The following is a 15,005-nucleotide window of genomic DNA, read 5'->3' on the forward strand; positions in this document are numbered from 1 at the left end:
GCGGCTCACGCCTGTAATCCCAACACTTTGGGAGGCCGAGGCAGGTGGATCACCTAAGGTCAGGAGTCCAAGACCAGCCTGGCCAACATAGTGAAACCCTGTCTCTACAAAAATAAAAAAATTAGCTGGGCATGATAGCAGGTGCCTGTAATCCCAGCTACATGGGAGGCTGAGGTGGGAGAATCACCTGAACCCAGGAGGCAGAGATTGCAGTGAGCTGAGATCATGCCACTGCACTCCAGCCTGGGTGACAGAGCGAGACTCTGTCTCCAAAAAAAAAAAAAAAGTGATATAAGTGGCCTGGCCTGGTGGCTCACGCCTGTAATCCCAGCACTTTGGGAGGCTGAGGTGGGCAGATCACCTGAGGTCAGGAGTTCAAGACCAGCCTGGCCAACATGGTGAAACCCTGTCTCTACTAAAAATACAAAAAATTAGTCAGGCATGGTGGCGTGCGCCTGTAGTCCCAGCTACACGGGAGGCTGAGGCAGGAGAATTGCTTGAGCCTAGGAGGTGAAGGTTGCAGTGAGCCAAGATCGCGCCACTGCATTCCAGCCTGGGCGACACAGCAAGACTCTGTCTCAAAAAAAAAAAAAAAGTGATACAATAAACTTTCAAAAATACAAGTGCTCACCTAATGCCATCAATAGGTTCTTGAAAACTGTAACTTTAAGTGAAGCAATGTATGATTAAACCAATTTTTACCATAGGGTAATTGATATAAACAAGAATTAAGTTCGTATGGTATATTTCTGGTCACAAAAACATTACCAAACTTCTAAATAAAGACTCAAAACCCTTCTAATATTAAACACTGAAATAAATGTTAGCTATATATACATTTAAGAAAAATTAACAAAAACAAGAAGGACAATTAATTACCCAATTTTTGGTGCATCAGTGAGTGATGGCAGTCATTATGGTGGAGGTGAAATCAGGGAATAGATGTTTGCAAAGGGAAAATTGTAAAGATCACCTCCTACCACGATGTAATTCAAAAACAAACAATAACAAATATGGCAGGGTTACTGAGCACTTTCACACCGCATTGCTTATTGTCCTACATTTGTGTATCGTATACACAATGTATACAATACATTTTTATGTTACAATAATATGTATTCATTCATTCATTCTCCAACCTGCTTACTCCAGTTCAGGGTCATGGGTGGCTGGAGCCTATCCTGGAAGCTAAGTGAGAATCAGCCCTGGACAGCATGCCATTCCATTGCAGGGCACACTCACACCACCCCCACCCAACTCAGACTGGGACAATTTAGACATGCCATGAACTTAACGCTTACAGCTTTGGGATGAAGAACCCAGAGAAAACCTGTAGATACAGGGAGAATATGCCAACTCCACACAGACAGTGGCCATCGCCGGGAATCAATTTTTTTTCTTATCAATGTTACAACAAAATGACATTGAACAAAACATTGTTATTCAAGAACCTGCTGTACATCTCATGTTCAGCCTCATATATGTAACAGGTACCAATATTTTTTTACACATGGTAACCCAAAACATGAAATTTCCTATAGCATGAAATATGAAGCCACCCGTGTTAGTGCTGATATGGAGTACTAGAGTCACTGGAATCACTGTATGTAGAAACTTGGAAATCCTGAGTCATCTTTCACTCTTCCCTTACCCTATCTCCCTATCTTATCAAGGTCCATTAGTTCAGCTTCTGAAGCTAAGTCTCCTAATATAACCTTCTTTCCATTTCTACAGATACCAGATTACAGCCGAACCTGATCTTTGTGATTTTCTGCCTTCACTACTGCAACAATCTCCTAATTCATCTCTGAGCTTCTAGTTCCTCTTTCTTTCACTTTGTTCTTGTCACCCTCTAGATTTTCCACCAAAAACACAGATCTCATTATCTTTTCTCACCACATTAAAGTTATGCTATCTATAGAATAAGGTCCCACCTCCTTTAAATTGCACTCAAGAAACTTTATAATCTCTGGCCTAATTCTACCTTTCCAGATTGATTTCTCACCAAACAATTCTGATATCCTATCCTCAGGTTTCAGCCACACCAACCTGTTCATTGTTCCCAGAACGAACCTGGCATTTCAGGCTTCAGTTTGTGGCCACTGTCCACCTTCTACCCCCATGCTGTCCTGCTCATCCTCTACCCCTCAAGGGCAAATTCACATGTAACTTCTTCTGTAAAGTCTCCCCCACTCTCCCCTGTTGCAGGCCAAAAGAATGAGGGTCATGATCAACTCAGTATACCACTGGAGGCTATATTAGTAAAGAGCAAACTATTCTCATAAATGCAGAATGTTAGCAAACTGACAAACTGCGTCTGCCATCCAGAAGGAATGCTGAGGGCAGTCACGACCCAGGCACAAGTGTTTCTTGTGATTATCTACAGGGCACATCTGAAGCCTGTTAGCAATAATATGAACCTGTGATCAATTACGCAGCTGACCAATCGTTACCTCTTCCTCCCTGTTCTTTCTACCCAATAAATACAAACGGCTTAAGAAGCTTGGGGCGGCTGCCTTTGCTCACTAGAAGCAGGACGCTCTCTTCTTCTTCCCCTGGCCCCTTCCTTTAAAACAGTTTCTTGTAAGTTTTCATTTCTGTGTTCATCCTCCTTCGTTCAGTCCCGTAGTGACTGCCAAACTCCCCAGTTAGAATTAACTGTTCCTTCCAAGCACTGCCATGGCATTTATATCCTGCCCATCTCTCCCTTCTCATAGGTCACAAATCTTGAGAACAGAAAATGAAGCCTCATTCATCTCTGTGACTATCCAGCAGAGCTCTCTAGACATTTCAGTTTCTTTATAAATGTTCATAGAATGACAAATTTCTGGGAAGAGGAGGAAGATTTAACCAGCATAACCAGCAGAGAAAGGACTATCCTGGAACTCTACCAGTAGCTGCCCTTTCCTATGTGTAGAATTTTGGAGGTATAATAAGCCTTCTTATATGTCAGAAACACTGAGCCCTTCCATTTGGGCTTGCTATAAGAATATCCCAAAGGTTTGACAGAGAATACAAATTCACTTTCCAGCTACATTAGTGAGAAATTTCTATTGCTTATAAAAATAAATCAATTTCAAAATATGAATTAAATCTTATTAATCTTAAATTTTATAACTGGAGACATTAAGCTTTTAAGTATAGAATTCTGTAAGTTCAAAGAAACGCAGAGTAAGAAATACTACACAACAGCTACCAAGGCTGAGAGGTGAGTTTGAGGCATGTACAGGAGGGGTTCCAAGCAGGAACAGATCCTAAACACTTGCAGAAACCTGTTCTTTAAGAGCAGAGATTACAAATGTGCAAAATACCCTAGACATCACATGTCTCACACCCCAAGGAGGCATTTTACTTAGTATCAGGCCTTTTTTTTTCTGTTGTGATCTTTTTTTTTAAAGAAGCCCCTATATTTATCAGCTACTTTCTTCATCTTTAGAAACCTCCCTACATTTCACTAGTCCAACATGACTGATAGTCTTTAAAGACAAGCTTGATGTAAAAATATCTTGAATTCAGACTGGATTAAGAAAATGTGGCACATATACACTGTGGAATGCTATGCAGCCATAAAAAATGATGAGTTCATGTCCTTTGTAGGGACATGGATGAAGCTGGAAATCATCATTCTCAGCAAACTATCGCAAGGACAAAAAAACCAAACATGGCATGTTCTCACTCATAGATGGGAATTCAACAATGAGAACACTTGGACACAGGAAGGGGAACATCACACACCGGAGCCTGTTGTGGGGTGGGGAGAGGCGGGAGGGATAGCATTAGGAGATATACCTAATGTAAATGATGAGTTAATGGGTGCAGCACACCAACATGGCACATGTATATATATGTAACAAACCAGCACGTTGTGCACATGTACCCTAGAACTTAAAGTATAATAAAAAAAAATTTAAAAAAAATTATAAAAAAAATCTTGAATGCATAACAAACATAAGTTTTTTAAAACAATGCTTCATTAATCTATACAAGCACTTGAGTTGTTCACAAGGAAAATATATCTACCTGGTGAAGAGAAGAGACCTAACATTTGTTGAGTATCTGCTACTGGCAGGGTACTCTTCTGGACTCCTTTATGTTGACTATTTAATTCCCACAGCAACCCTGAAGAACAAGCCCTGACATTCTAAATAAGAAAACTAAAGCACAGAGAGTAATCTGCCCAAAGAAACATAGCTGAAAAGTAAAAAGCTGGGATTTGAACCAGATTAGACTTGTTCCAAAGTCCATATTCCCAACTACCACAAATCAGATTGCCCCAATGTGGTGTCTCAGCAGGAGAAAGTAATGGACTGCTTCTGCATATTTTGCATCTCATCGTGCTGCTTTCCAACTTCTGACAATGTAAACTTACAAGGCCAATTTCAAGTAAAGAAACTTGTACTATTTTTCAAAAGGTGGTAAAGAAAGTCAGATCTGAAAGAGAATGGTCTATAAAGTTAGTATTCTAAAACTAATGCAATCATTGTTTCTTATCATAGATTTATTAAATAAAAATAAAAACATTTTCTTGCTATACTATTCCCTTTTCTAGCATAAAAGTAGCTTGCTGTCATAATTTTCTTTTTTTTTTTTTTTGAGACGGGGTCTCACTGTCATCCAGGCTGGATCATCCTGCCTCTACCACCCAAGTAGCTGGGACTATATGAGCATGCCACCACAGCTGGTTAATTTCTGTATTCTTTGTAGAGACAGAGTTTTGCCATGTTACCTAGGCTGGTCTCAAACTCCAAAGCTTAAGTGATCCACCTTTCTGGCCTCCCATAGTGTTGGGATTACAGGCGTGAACGACTGCACCTGGCCTGACATGAATATTTAATGCCAACATACTACTGTTGTTGCAAATCTCACTGATTTAAAGTTGAAAACTAAAGAGAAAGAAAGAAAAAAATCTCAGATGCTCATGTCATCAAGAAAAGTCCTTTCCTTCAATTGGGACATGTTTGTGTTTCAAGTACAGTTCCGATAAGCCTAGTGAACTTTTTCCAAGTCTACTATAGACTACCTGAAGAACTATTTAGTTCTTGAGAATTCCAAAGACATGAAGTTTTACTAAAATTACGTCAAATACTTAAACAACTCTAAACTACTAAGCATACATCTTCCTTTCAAAGCTACAGGTCCCACAATACTTCAATGACAGTGATTTTGTGCTAAAAAGTTAAAGGTGATTAACTGTGGGAAAGAGATTAGTTAGGTTAATCTTTAATTATTAAACTTGGGGATTTAAAGAGTTTTATAAAGGCATGTTTCCAATGGTTGAAATAATTAATATAAAATGTTAAGATCAGTTAATTAAACTATGACTATAGTGCTATTTACGTGGGCCTCGTGACAAGCCTGCGATTGGTGCTGGTAGATTAGGATACCCACCATGACTCAGCATACCCATTCAATAAAGTGTAAGTGGAAAAACAAACGGAAGTTCTGGCAACAAAGAGGGCCAGGAAGTACAGTCACATAAAGGTCACCCAACAGGTTTGCGTAACTTGTCTTTACTGCTAGATAGATATAATACTGAGGGACAGATTTTACATGCCAACCAAATTACAACAACTACCAAATTAAATAGGAAAAGACTCCCGAGAAAACAGATATAAATTCTTTTTTTTTTTGAGATGGAGTCTCGCTCTGTTGCCCAGGCTGGAGTGCAGTGGTGCGATCTCAGCTCACTGCAGCCTCCACCTCCTGGGTTCAAGCAATTCTCCTGCCTCAGCCTCCCACATAGCTGGGCTTATAGGTGTCCGCCACCACACCCGGCTAATTTTTGTATTTTTAGTACAGACAGGGTTTCACCATGTTGGCCAGGCTGGTCTTGAACTCCTGACCTCAGGTGATCCACCCACCTTGGCCTCCCAAAGTACTGAAATTACAGGCATAAGCCACCACGCCTGGCCAGATATAACTTCTTGAAACTATAAAAAATAAAAGCTTCCTAATACATCAGACTATAATGAGCTACAAAAGCCTTATCAAATCATTTAATCACATATGACAAAGAACCAGAAGAGACATTTTGCCTCAACTTTACCCAAGTGATCCAGAAATACAGTAGAAAGGTCTACTCTCTTAGGAAGACAATAGTGAGCCACTGCTCCCACTCACTCTGTAGCCTGACCTAAACTTACTGAGTTTCTTCCAGCCACTGCTCCCACCCAGTCCGTAGCCTGACCTAAGCTGAAGAATCTCCCTTTCTAATTTCCCCTTCTTTGTGTGATCAGTGATCAGATGCTTCCCAACCTGAAGAAATGCTCAGCAAATGGATGTGATGGGCAATCTATGATTTCTGACTACCTATCATTGAGTCCTTTCCTCTTGGTACCAGTATCCATTATCCTCATTACCTTTTTGGGGGCTACCTCTCCCCCATGGGATACAGTCTTGTGGGACAATTAATCAGGTTCACACTCACTCCTAAACAAGAGATGGGAACATGACCTACATCAGGCCTACTGGACATTCTTTCCCTGGACTATGAATTGTGAGCAGTGAACAAAAAAGGCTGGCAATGGTTTCAGTTCATTCATTCCACTCCCAGAGCTGGAACAAAAATGGTTTCTACCTGTTGCAGGCCTTCCCTTCAAATCTGCAAGTCCAGACCTATGTAGCCTCCAACCAATGCCTTTTTTTTTTTTTTTTTTTTGTCTTTTAAGATGGGGTCTCGCTCTGTCACCCAGGCTGGAGTGCAGTGGCATGATCTTGGCTCACCGCAAGCTCTGCCTCCTAGGTTCACGCCATTCTCCTGCCTCAGCCTCCCAAGTAGCCGGGACTACAGGTGCCCGCCACCACGCCCAGCTAATTTTTTGTATTTTTAGTAGAGATGGGGTTTCACCGTGTTAGCCAGGATAGTCTTGATCTCCTGACCTCGTGATCCGCCCGCCTCAGCCTCCCAAAGTGCTGGGATTACAGGCGTGAGCCACCGGGCCTGGCCCCAACCACTGCCTTTTTTAACTGAACACAAAGTGGTCTTCATTATTCTCCAAGAATTGTCAAGGAAGCACCTCTGTACTTGTGCAGCATAAACCTGGACCTCAACTTTGACACAGCAGCAGACTCCCTCTCTCTTGATCCCCTCTGTCAAGTTCCAAGACGTGACACTGCTGGTTTTCCTCCTCCTCCCTTCTCAAGCTCTCCTATCTGCTCCTCCAGCTGACAAATACTAAAGGGACTCAAGGCTGTTTCTGAGTCACCTTTCTTTCTAGATGTATTTCTCTCTACAGGCAGTCTTATCCCTGGTCACACATAGAATTAATCATTTAAATACCCATGACTCTTAAGCTATTTCTTTGGCCCATTGCTTTTCTGACCTCCAGAAAGATACCCCAAAGTGCTTACTTGTAATTGTCACTTTGCTGTTTCAGAGGAAACTCAAAGTCAACAGGTCCCAAACTGTGACCTCCATTGTGCCTACCACTGCTGCCTCACACACACACAAAAAAGCTAGTCCTCCTTCAGCCATACCTATCTAGATGAATGCAGTAACCATCCACCTAGCCATGAAACCATAAATTCAGGAGACTAGGCGTCTCCTTCTAGCCTCCTGCTTTCTCACTTTATTATATCCAAACAACCACTAAGTTCTTCCAATTTTACCTTCTAGTCATCTCTCAAATATGTCCAGCTCTTTATTTTCATTGATCTCACTTTAGTCAAAGAAATGCTCTCCTAACTGGCCTCTCCTAAGCATCTCTGAACACCCCTTCAATACCTCCTTCACATTAGAGCAAATAATAATTTTTAAAATGCAAATATTATATTATTCCTAAAATAGCGTTGCCTTCCCCTTAGGACAAAGATCAAAATCCTCCCCAGGGCCTCCACAGCTGCTGCCTGCCTGTTCTCTTCTCTCATCTCACGTGAGCCCAGGCCTGCCTCATCTGTCCTGCTGTACTGCAGTGAACTGATCTTCTTCCGGAGTCTTACAGATGCCATTCTCTCTCCATCTTCAGCCCTTTGTATATGTCTTGCTCTGTTTTCCCCAAGTTACTACAGCTCAAAATAGCCACTGCCTCAAGAAAGTCTTCCCGAATTTTCCAGCTTAAATTTGGAACCCCCCCACCCACACAACCCATTTTACACTGTCTGCCTCTCCTTTAGTGCTTATATCACAGCTACAATGTACTGTGCAATTAGGTGTTTAATTTTTGAACTCCCCTACAAGAACATAAACTCCATGCAAAATAATAGTAATCTCTAGCATTTAGCAGAGCCTTTTAAAAAAATACTTAAGATTTTACCCAGTATTATTCACTGCTGACTCCCAAATTACTATGGCAGCCCTAACTTCTCCCTAGCTCCAGATTCATCATGTGTCTAATAACCTACTCAAACTCTTCACCTGAATATTTAATAAGCAGCTTAAATGTAACATTTCTAAAACCTCTGGATTACCAACTACACCCCTAAACTCTCTGATTCCCATCCTCCTCAGGTCAATAACGATCACCACCAGTCACCCCATTTTCTAGGTCAAAGTGGTGACTGAGTTATCCTTGATCCCTCTCTTTCCTTCAAATCCCATATGCAAAAATAATTTATCAGTGGGTCCTATGGACTTTAATTTCAAATTACATATCCTTAGCCAGGTGTGATCCATCACTGTAATCCCATCACTTCAGGAGCCCAAGGCAGGCAGATCACTTTGTATTTTTAGTAGAGATGGGGTTTCAAGACCCCAGGAATTCAAGGCCAGGAATTCCTGACCCCAAGGCCAGGAATTCAAGACCAGCCTGGCCAACATGGTGAAACCCTGTCTCTACTACAAAAACACAAAAATTAGCTGGGGGTGGTGGTGCATGCCTATAGTCCCAGCTACTCAGGAGGCTGAGGCATGAGAATCGCTTGAACCCAGGAGGCAGAGGTTGCAGTGAGCAGAGATCATGCCACTGAACTCCAGCCTGGGCAACACAGTGAGACTCTATCTCAAAAATAATAATAATAATAATAAAATTAAATTTAAAAAAATACATGTCTTAAGCATGCTTCTCACCCCTCTGTCACTACCCCTCTCTTTCACGCCTCCATCTTCTCATGCCTGGACCACCATGGCAACCTCCTAACTTGGTCTCCCCACTTCCACCTGCCCCCCTCCCCCAACTCTCTTCTTCACATAGGGGTCCTCCTCCCACCCCTCAACAGAGACTCTACACAAGCAGGGTCTCTATTTGATCCAACAGTGCACATACACCCAATGACTAGCATTTGGCTGAGCAGATAGCAGACAAACTATTTGCTGAATGACTAAGAATTCTGACTGCAGATTTCTAGGCTTCATCCCTGGAAATTCTGACCCTGCATTTCTTAATCATCCACAGGTGACTGATGATGACTCCACCAGACACCTAGGCCTGTCTCCTCAGAGAGGACTTCAAAGTTGTCCCTGCCCGCTCTTACTCAGGACCCCTTCCACCTCAGTGCACAGAGGCCTCTGAAGTGACCCTGAGACTTGGAAGAAATGAGAAGTGAGTCTCCTCTGAGAAACACTAGGGAAGCTAACTCGAGATGATTAATCTTTAGTGAAGACAATATCATGAGAAAATTGTCAGTTTACGAGAATGACTGGCCCACAACCAGAAGCATCCTATGCCTGAATTTGGTGAGGGTGGGTTAAGTACACACAATGCTTTTTTTTTTTTTCTTTGAGATGGAGTCTCGCTCTGTTGCCCAGGTTGGAGTGCAGTGGCACGATCTCAGCTCACTGTAAACTCTGCCTCCCAGGTTCAAGTGATTCTCCTACCTCAGCCTCCTGAGTAGCTGGTTTTACAGAAGTGTGCCACCATACCCAGCTAATTTGTGTAATTTTAGTAAAGACGGGGTTTCACCATGTTGGCCAGGCTGGTCTTGAACTCCTAACCTCAAGTGGTCTGCCCGCCTTGGCCTCCCAAAGTGCTGGGATTACAGGCCATGAACCACCACACCCGGCCATAAGTATATACAATTCTTAATTCATTATGCTACCAGAAGTGAAAACATTAATTAACTCCATAGACTGAAGAAATTTAAAAATTTAACTTCATCTAAGATTAAGTCTTCCAAAAGCTTATATGCAACAGCGGCACTAATTTGATGCACTCCTCCCCCTTTCTTTTGTTTACTCTGGTGCAGGTGCTAAGAACCAGAGAAATAACAAATGCAAACAATGCAATGGAAAAGGAATCCTCAGTCTCATAAGAGAGTTTAAAATAGCACTTGTCCCAAGGATCTCACGCTTTCCTGCATGCAAACACTGTTCTGGAATGCTACATCAAATTGATCTGATTCAGTACACTAAGGATTTGAGTTGCATAAAGTCTGGGATACAGCACCATATAAAATTACCAAGGAAGTTTCTACAACTTTTAATGCTTTATATTACTGAGCAAGGAAGGGTTCAGATTCTAAAATTCTTATAACTACACTGTAATATGGCAAGAAACAATCTAATCTCCAACTCCCTACAAGCACTCTCCTTCTTCCTTTATAATATGTTTTGCTAAGCTTCACTCATTCCAAAACCTTTACAGAAGAAAAACCAACAGAAAATGTTTTAGTTTATTTTAAATGATTCCTGAGGACTGGTATGGAGGCTCACATTTGTAATCCCAAAGCTTTGCGAGGCTGAGGTAGGAGGATCACTTGAGGCCAGGAGTTTGAGACCAGCCTGGGCAACATAGTAAGACCCTGTCTCTACAAAAAATAAATAAATAAAACTAAGAAAATGATTTGTGTTCCAACTTACCTTTATGACAACAGTTAAATATATCATCGTCTCAGATAAATACAAAAAGAAATCAAATAATGAGGGTATTTTCCTTCAGTTACTCATGTCAGCATGAACTGAAACAGGGGGCCTCTGCCATACATTCTTCATCATATTTAACTCTTTTTGAGTCAGACAAGGACTTAAAAAGCAAGACTCTTCAAAAGCAAGAAGGAGTCAAGTGATTCAAGAAGCACAATAATTAGTCATTACCAAATGATTCTATATCATGGTTTTGGGAGATTCTAAAGAACACATGCCCCATCATCCTGGATATATAAAAATATGCAATCCTCTCTAACTTCCTCTTTGGTTGGCTTCCCAAGAACCCCACCCTACCTGACTGGCTTGTTTTCTGGGCCCACATCTGTAAAGCCCATTTCCTCCAGTTTGCAGCGCCTGTAAAGCTCATAGTGCCTGGTATGGGTCTGCTCTCGCAGGTCCTCCATATTTGTACAAATGAGCATTTCCCGCAGCTTTACAAAGTCACAGTGGTTTTCATTTTCCACTAGCCAAAAAAAAATAAGAAAAGAACAACACTGGATTTTAATTCCTGGCACACAACTAAGTGTTTGCTGAATGAACAAATAAATGAAAACATGTGAAACAACAAATAGCAAATGATCAGTTTGATTAACAGCTACGATTATTTTATACATGTAACCAAGGAAGAAACTCTTGCAGTATAAATACTGTATCATAGGCAATGTGAATTAACAGACCAGATTTACTTTAAATTTAGTAGCCAATGAATCACCAGGAAATACCAAAAAAGACACAACTTATTGTTAACCAAGTGTTCTAGTTATTTCACACTAATATTTTGTTAGCAGTTTACAAACTATCCTGAAGACATTTCACATAATGTTTAAAGAGTATGTAATATTAGTTCACTAAAACTTCAAAGTAGTAAATTCTGCAAACTCAAGAATACTATCCTTCCCTGCTATAATTATCAAATTCTTTTTATAGAACACATTTATGATCCTGTGTTAGACACTATTCAAAATTAGTGAACACACTTACATGATCCTTCTTCTATGTTTACGGTGACCAGAGGACTACAAATAAATATATTTTATTGTGACCAATACTCTTAAGTATAATTATTACTTTTACATTTTTTATAAAATTAAAAATGTTATATTTTCTCAATTTTTTCATTCATTACAAAATTTATCAATTAAGAAAAAAAATCAGCATTTGGAAATCCATACTAGTAAGGGTAATCTATTCACCATTAATTAGCACTATAAGTAAATGAACCATATAATACTATTTACTTACTCATTATAATGTCAGCTAAATAATCTAAATGTCAAGTAGATTTAACTTTTTAAGTTGGCTGACTGGCTTATTCTGGAAATAGCCGGCAATACTTTGATCAGTAAAAATATATAAATTTATAAGATGGTTGACTGTTCTTATACTTAAGTGGTAATTAGTGATGTTTTATGTCTGAACACTACTTTCCACATTCACATTTTGGTCAGAGTGCCCCACTGGTGTTTCCCACCTACTAACAGGGTACCGTGGGGGCGGGGGTAATGTGTGTGTGGCATAATGAGAAGTGGGAGGCTCTACACGGCCTCCAGACTTTGGCTAAAATAGTACACAGCCAATTCCTCTGACAACCAATCACATCCAAACTAAGCATCACCCCAAAGAAGGCATGACAGGTAGCTTTGAGATTACTAGATAGATACATATTTCTAGTCATCCTTTGTCTCATTTACCTTGTACAACACCCCAAGGGTACTGGCGAGCTTTGACCATCTTGTTTCCGACTTTTACCTCATCCATACTTCCCACAACAGCAAACGGCAACTGTCCCTGAAAAAGAATATCGAGCACATCTTCTCATACCACTGTGATAACTGACTAGATAAAATAAATTTTATGTGAGAGAGAAGAGAATAATTAAATAACAAACCTATTAAAATCGAATGGTCAGCTATGCCTCAGATTTTAAAACCTGCCAGTGAATATGTGCTAACTGTTCTACAAGAGTCATCTTTGGGCCCCATAAAGAAAAGTATTTACATGTAAGGCATTATGCTATTGGGAATACACACAAACAAAAAAAATTTATTTATTTATTTTTATTTTTTTGAGACAGAGTCTTACTCTGTCGCCCAAGCTGAAGTGCAGTGACACGATCTCATCTCACTGCAGCCTCCGCCTCCTGGGTTCCAGTGATTCTCCTACCTCAGCCTCCCGAGTAGCTGGGATTACAGTTGCCCACCACAACATCCAGCTAATTTTTGCATTTTTAGTAGAGACGGCGTTTCACCATGTTGGCCAGGCTTGTCTCGAACTCCTGACCTCAGGTGATCCACCTGTCTTGGGATTATAGGTGTGAGCCCTATAATCCCAAAGTGCTGGGATTATAGGTGTGAGCCACCACACCTGGCCGAAAAAGAATTTTCCTCTAAAAGACAAAGATAATGTTGAGGAAATTACACATACACACACCCACAGTATACAAAATGTATATGTAACTATACAATAGTGTATTCCTATTGTTTGTGTGTGTGTGTACAGTATGTGGGTGTATAGATATGGTACTAATATAAAGTAGTACACAAAGTCCCAAATTAATGTCAATATAGTAAATGTCCTAGAAATTGAGAGGAGTGAGAGATCACTAGGAGCAGGAAGACACAAGCTAACCCACATCAAGAAGAACAAGATTTAGATGGACAAGCAAAGTGGGAAGAAATGGCTTAGAAAAGGAAAAGATTCTGAACAAAATGCAATAGCTAGGTTCAGGGGCAGGGAGTAGACTGGTCTGTCTGAAGTTGAGGATTAATACAGGGGAAAAGTCTAATGTAAAAATTATTAATTACTATGTTTAATATTTTAAAATTGACATATTTAGTTTCTTAATGGTGGCTTTCTGAATATTCTAGTTGAGCACAAGAAATAAAATTAGATGTAAAGACAATTTAACATATAGGAATTAAGATCACCTCATTTACATTAGTCAGTTTTTTTTTACAGATTTAGTTTAGGTACACTAATATAAAAGTGGTATGAAAAATCAGAAAAGGAAAATAGAAGAAATGGAATGAACAATTATTGAAAGTCACTGTTAGGCGCTTAACAAAGGTGACATCATTTATCCCTCACAACAACCCTTAAGGTGGGCAGTATTAACCTAACTTTGTAGATATGTTAAGTCTCAGGGAGGTTAGTAACTCCAATGGACATATGGCCAACCAAGCCTGTCAGATTTCAAAACCCATGATCCTACAAAACACAACCAGGTGTTTTAAAAATGTGTTAGCTTCAAGAAAGTAAAATTAAGAACTTAGTCACCTTCCATTGTACTAAACTAAAAGTTATATGAATGTAACTTGACACTATGAGAGAGAAGGAGCATAAATACTAGTTTTAAGAGACCTCCTTAAAGATTTTAAGATTTTACAGCATGCAAAGGGAGGCTGTAAAGTCTTCTCATGTTTATAAAGACAGGGTAGGAAGGTGTCATCTTTCTAAGGCAATTACATATGGCTGCACAAAAGGTATATCCCAGTCTCACAAATCTATCACTTTATTTTGGTGAAAGCAGAGTGAAAGAAAAATATGCTTAAAAATAAATTCTCCTTACACCTTTTCCAACTTAAAAAACTAAACATTTTCTCATACTGGACTTTTTGAAAATTCACCTTGTTTGAAGTCTTTTTGGAAGACACAAGTGAAAGTGTATTAGCAGCAATATTACTCACAAATTACAGTTTTATTTTCACATGGAAAACAGAATTAACATTCAATCAGGAGCTCACATTCATTGCAGCGTTGACCTTAGCAATAGTGTCATCATCCGTTGGGAACTGGTATATCTGGACGCCATTGCTGACCAATTCACTCATGAGCTTGATCTTAAACTTCTGTAATTCAGTTTTAGAAACCGTATCTGCTTTGGCAATCACTGGTATAATGTTTACCTATTAAGAATAAAGAAAAACAAAATCTTACTGAGGATTTTTTTTTTTAATCCTGCAGCTGTTTTTTCACTCAAAACTGTTCATTCTGACAATGAATTTCCCTAAACCTAGATCGGGGGGCTGGCAAACTACGGTCCATCTCGCTGTTGATCTTGATACATAAAGATTTACAGGAACACTGCCATGCCCATTTGCTTGTGTACTGTCTACAGTTGCGTTCACACTACAACAGCAGAGATGAGTTGCTGCTGCCATAAACCACAGGGCCTGTGACGCCCAGTGTATTCTCAGCCTGGCCCTTT

General features: G+C 40.1%; 2 protein-coding genes across 36 annotated transcripts in view, besides 2 other annotated features; one reads left to right on the forward strand and one right to left on the reverse strand.

Annotated features, from left to right (window-relative positions):
- Positions 1-15,005, forward strand: part of RANBP2 (RAN binding protein 2) — a 1,122,820-nt gene that overhangs the window by 833,792 nt on the left and 274,023 nt on the right. The gene's annotated exons all lie outside the window — the stretch shown is intronic.
- SEPTIN10 (septin 10) overlaps positions 1-15,005 on the reverse strand; it is a 71,168-nt gene that overhangs the window by 10,475 nt on the left and 45,688 nt on the right. For all 35 annotated transcript variants that reach the window (NM_001321503.2, NM_001321506.2, NM_001321511.2 and 32 more), the window contains 3 exons: positions 14,542-14,703; positions 12,490-12,586; positions 11,093-11,261 (listed from right to left, as the gene is read on the reverse strand). In NM_001321503.2, the coding sequence (NP_001308432.1) occupies positions 11,093-11,261; positions 12,490-12,586; positions 14,542-14,703 (428 nt within the window). The remainder of the gene's footprint in view (positions 1-11,092; positions 11,262-12,489; positions 12,587-14,541; positions 14,704-15,005) is intronic.
- Positions 5,339-5,633: an enhancer, noted in NCBI's record as "tiled region #2497; HepG2 Activating DNase matched - State 5:Enh, and K562 Activating non-DNase unmatched - State 24:Quies". NCBI's record gives its function as "activates a minimal TATA promoter and a strong SV40 promoter by Sharpr-MPRA in HepG2 cells, with weaker activity in K562 cells {active_cell/tissue: HepG2 | K562}" and the evidence as "EXISTENCE:reporter gene assay evidence [ECO:0000049][PMID:27701403]".
- Positions 6,926-7,126: a silencer, noted in NCBI's record as "peak3814 fragment used in MPRA reporter construct". NCBI's record gives its function as "represses an SCP1 promoter by STARR-seq MPRAs in K562 erythroleukemia cells {active_cell/tissue: K562}" and the evidence as "EXISTENCE:reporter gene assay evidence [ECO:0000049][PMID:32103011]".

Source organism: Homo sapiens, chromosome 2 (assembly GCF_000001405.40).
Source record: "Homo sapiens chromosome 2, GRCh38.p14 Primary Assembly".
Taxonomy (NCBI): domain Eukaryota; kingdom Metazoa; phylum Chordata; class Mammalia; order Primates; family Hominidae; genus Homo; species Homo sapiens.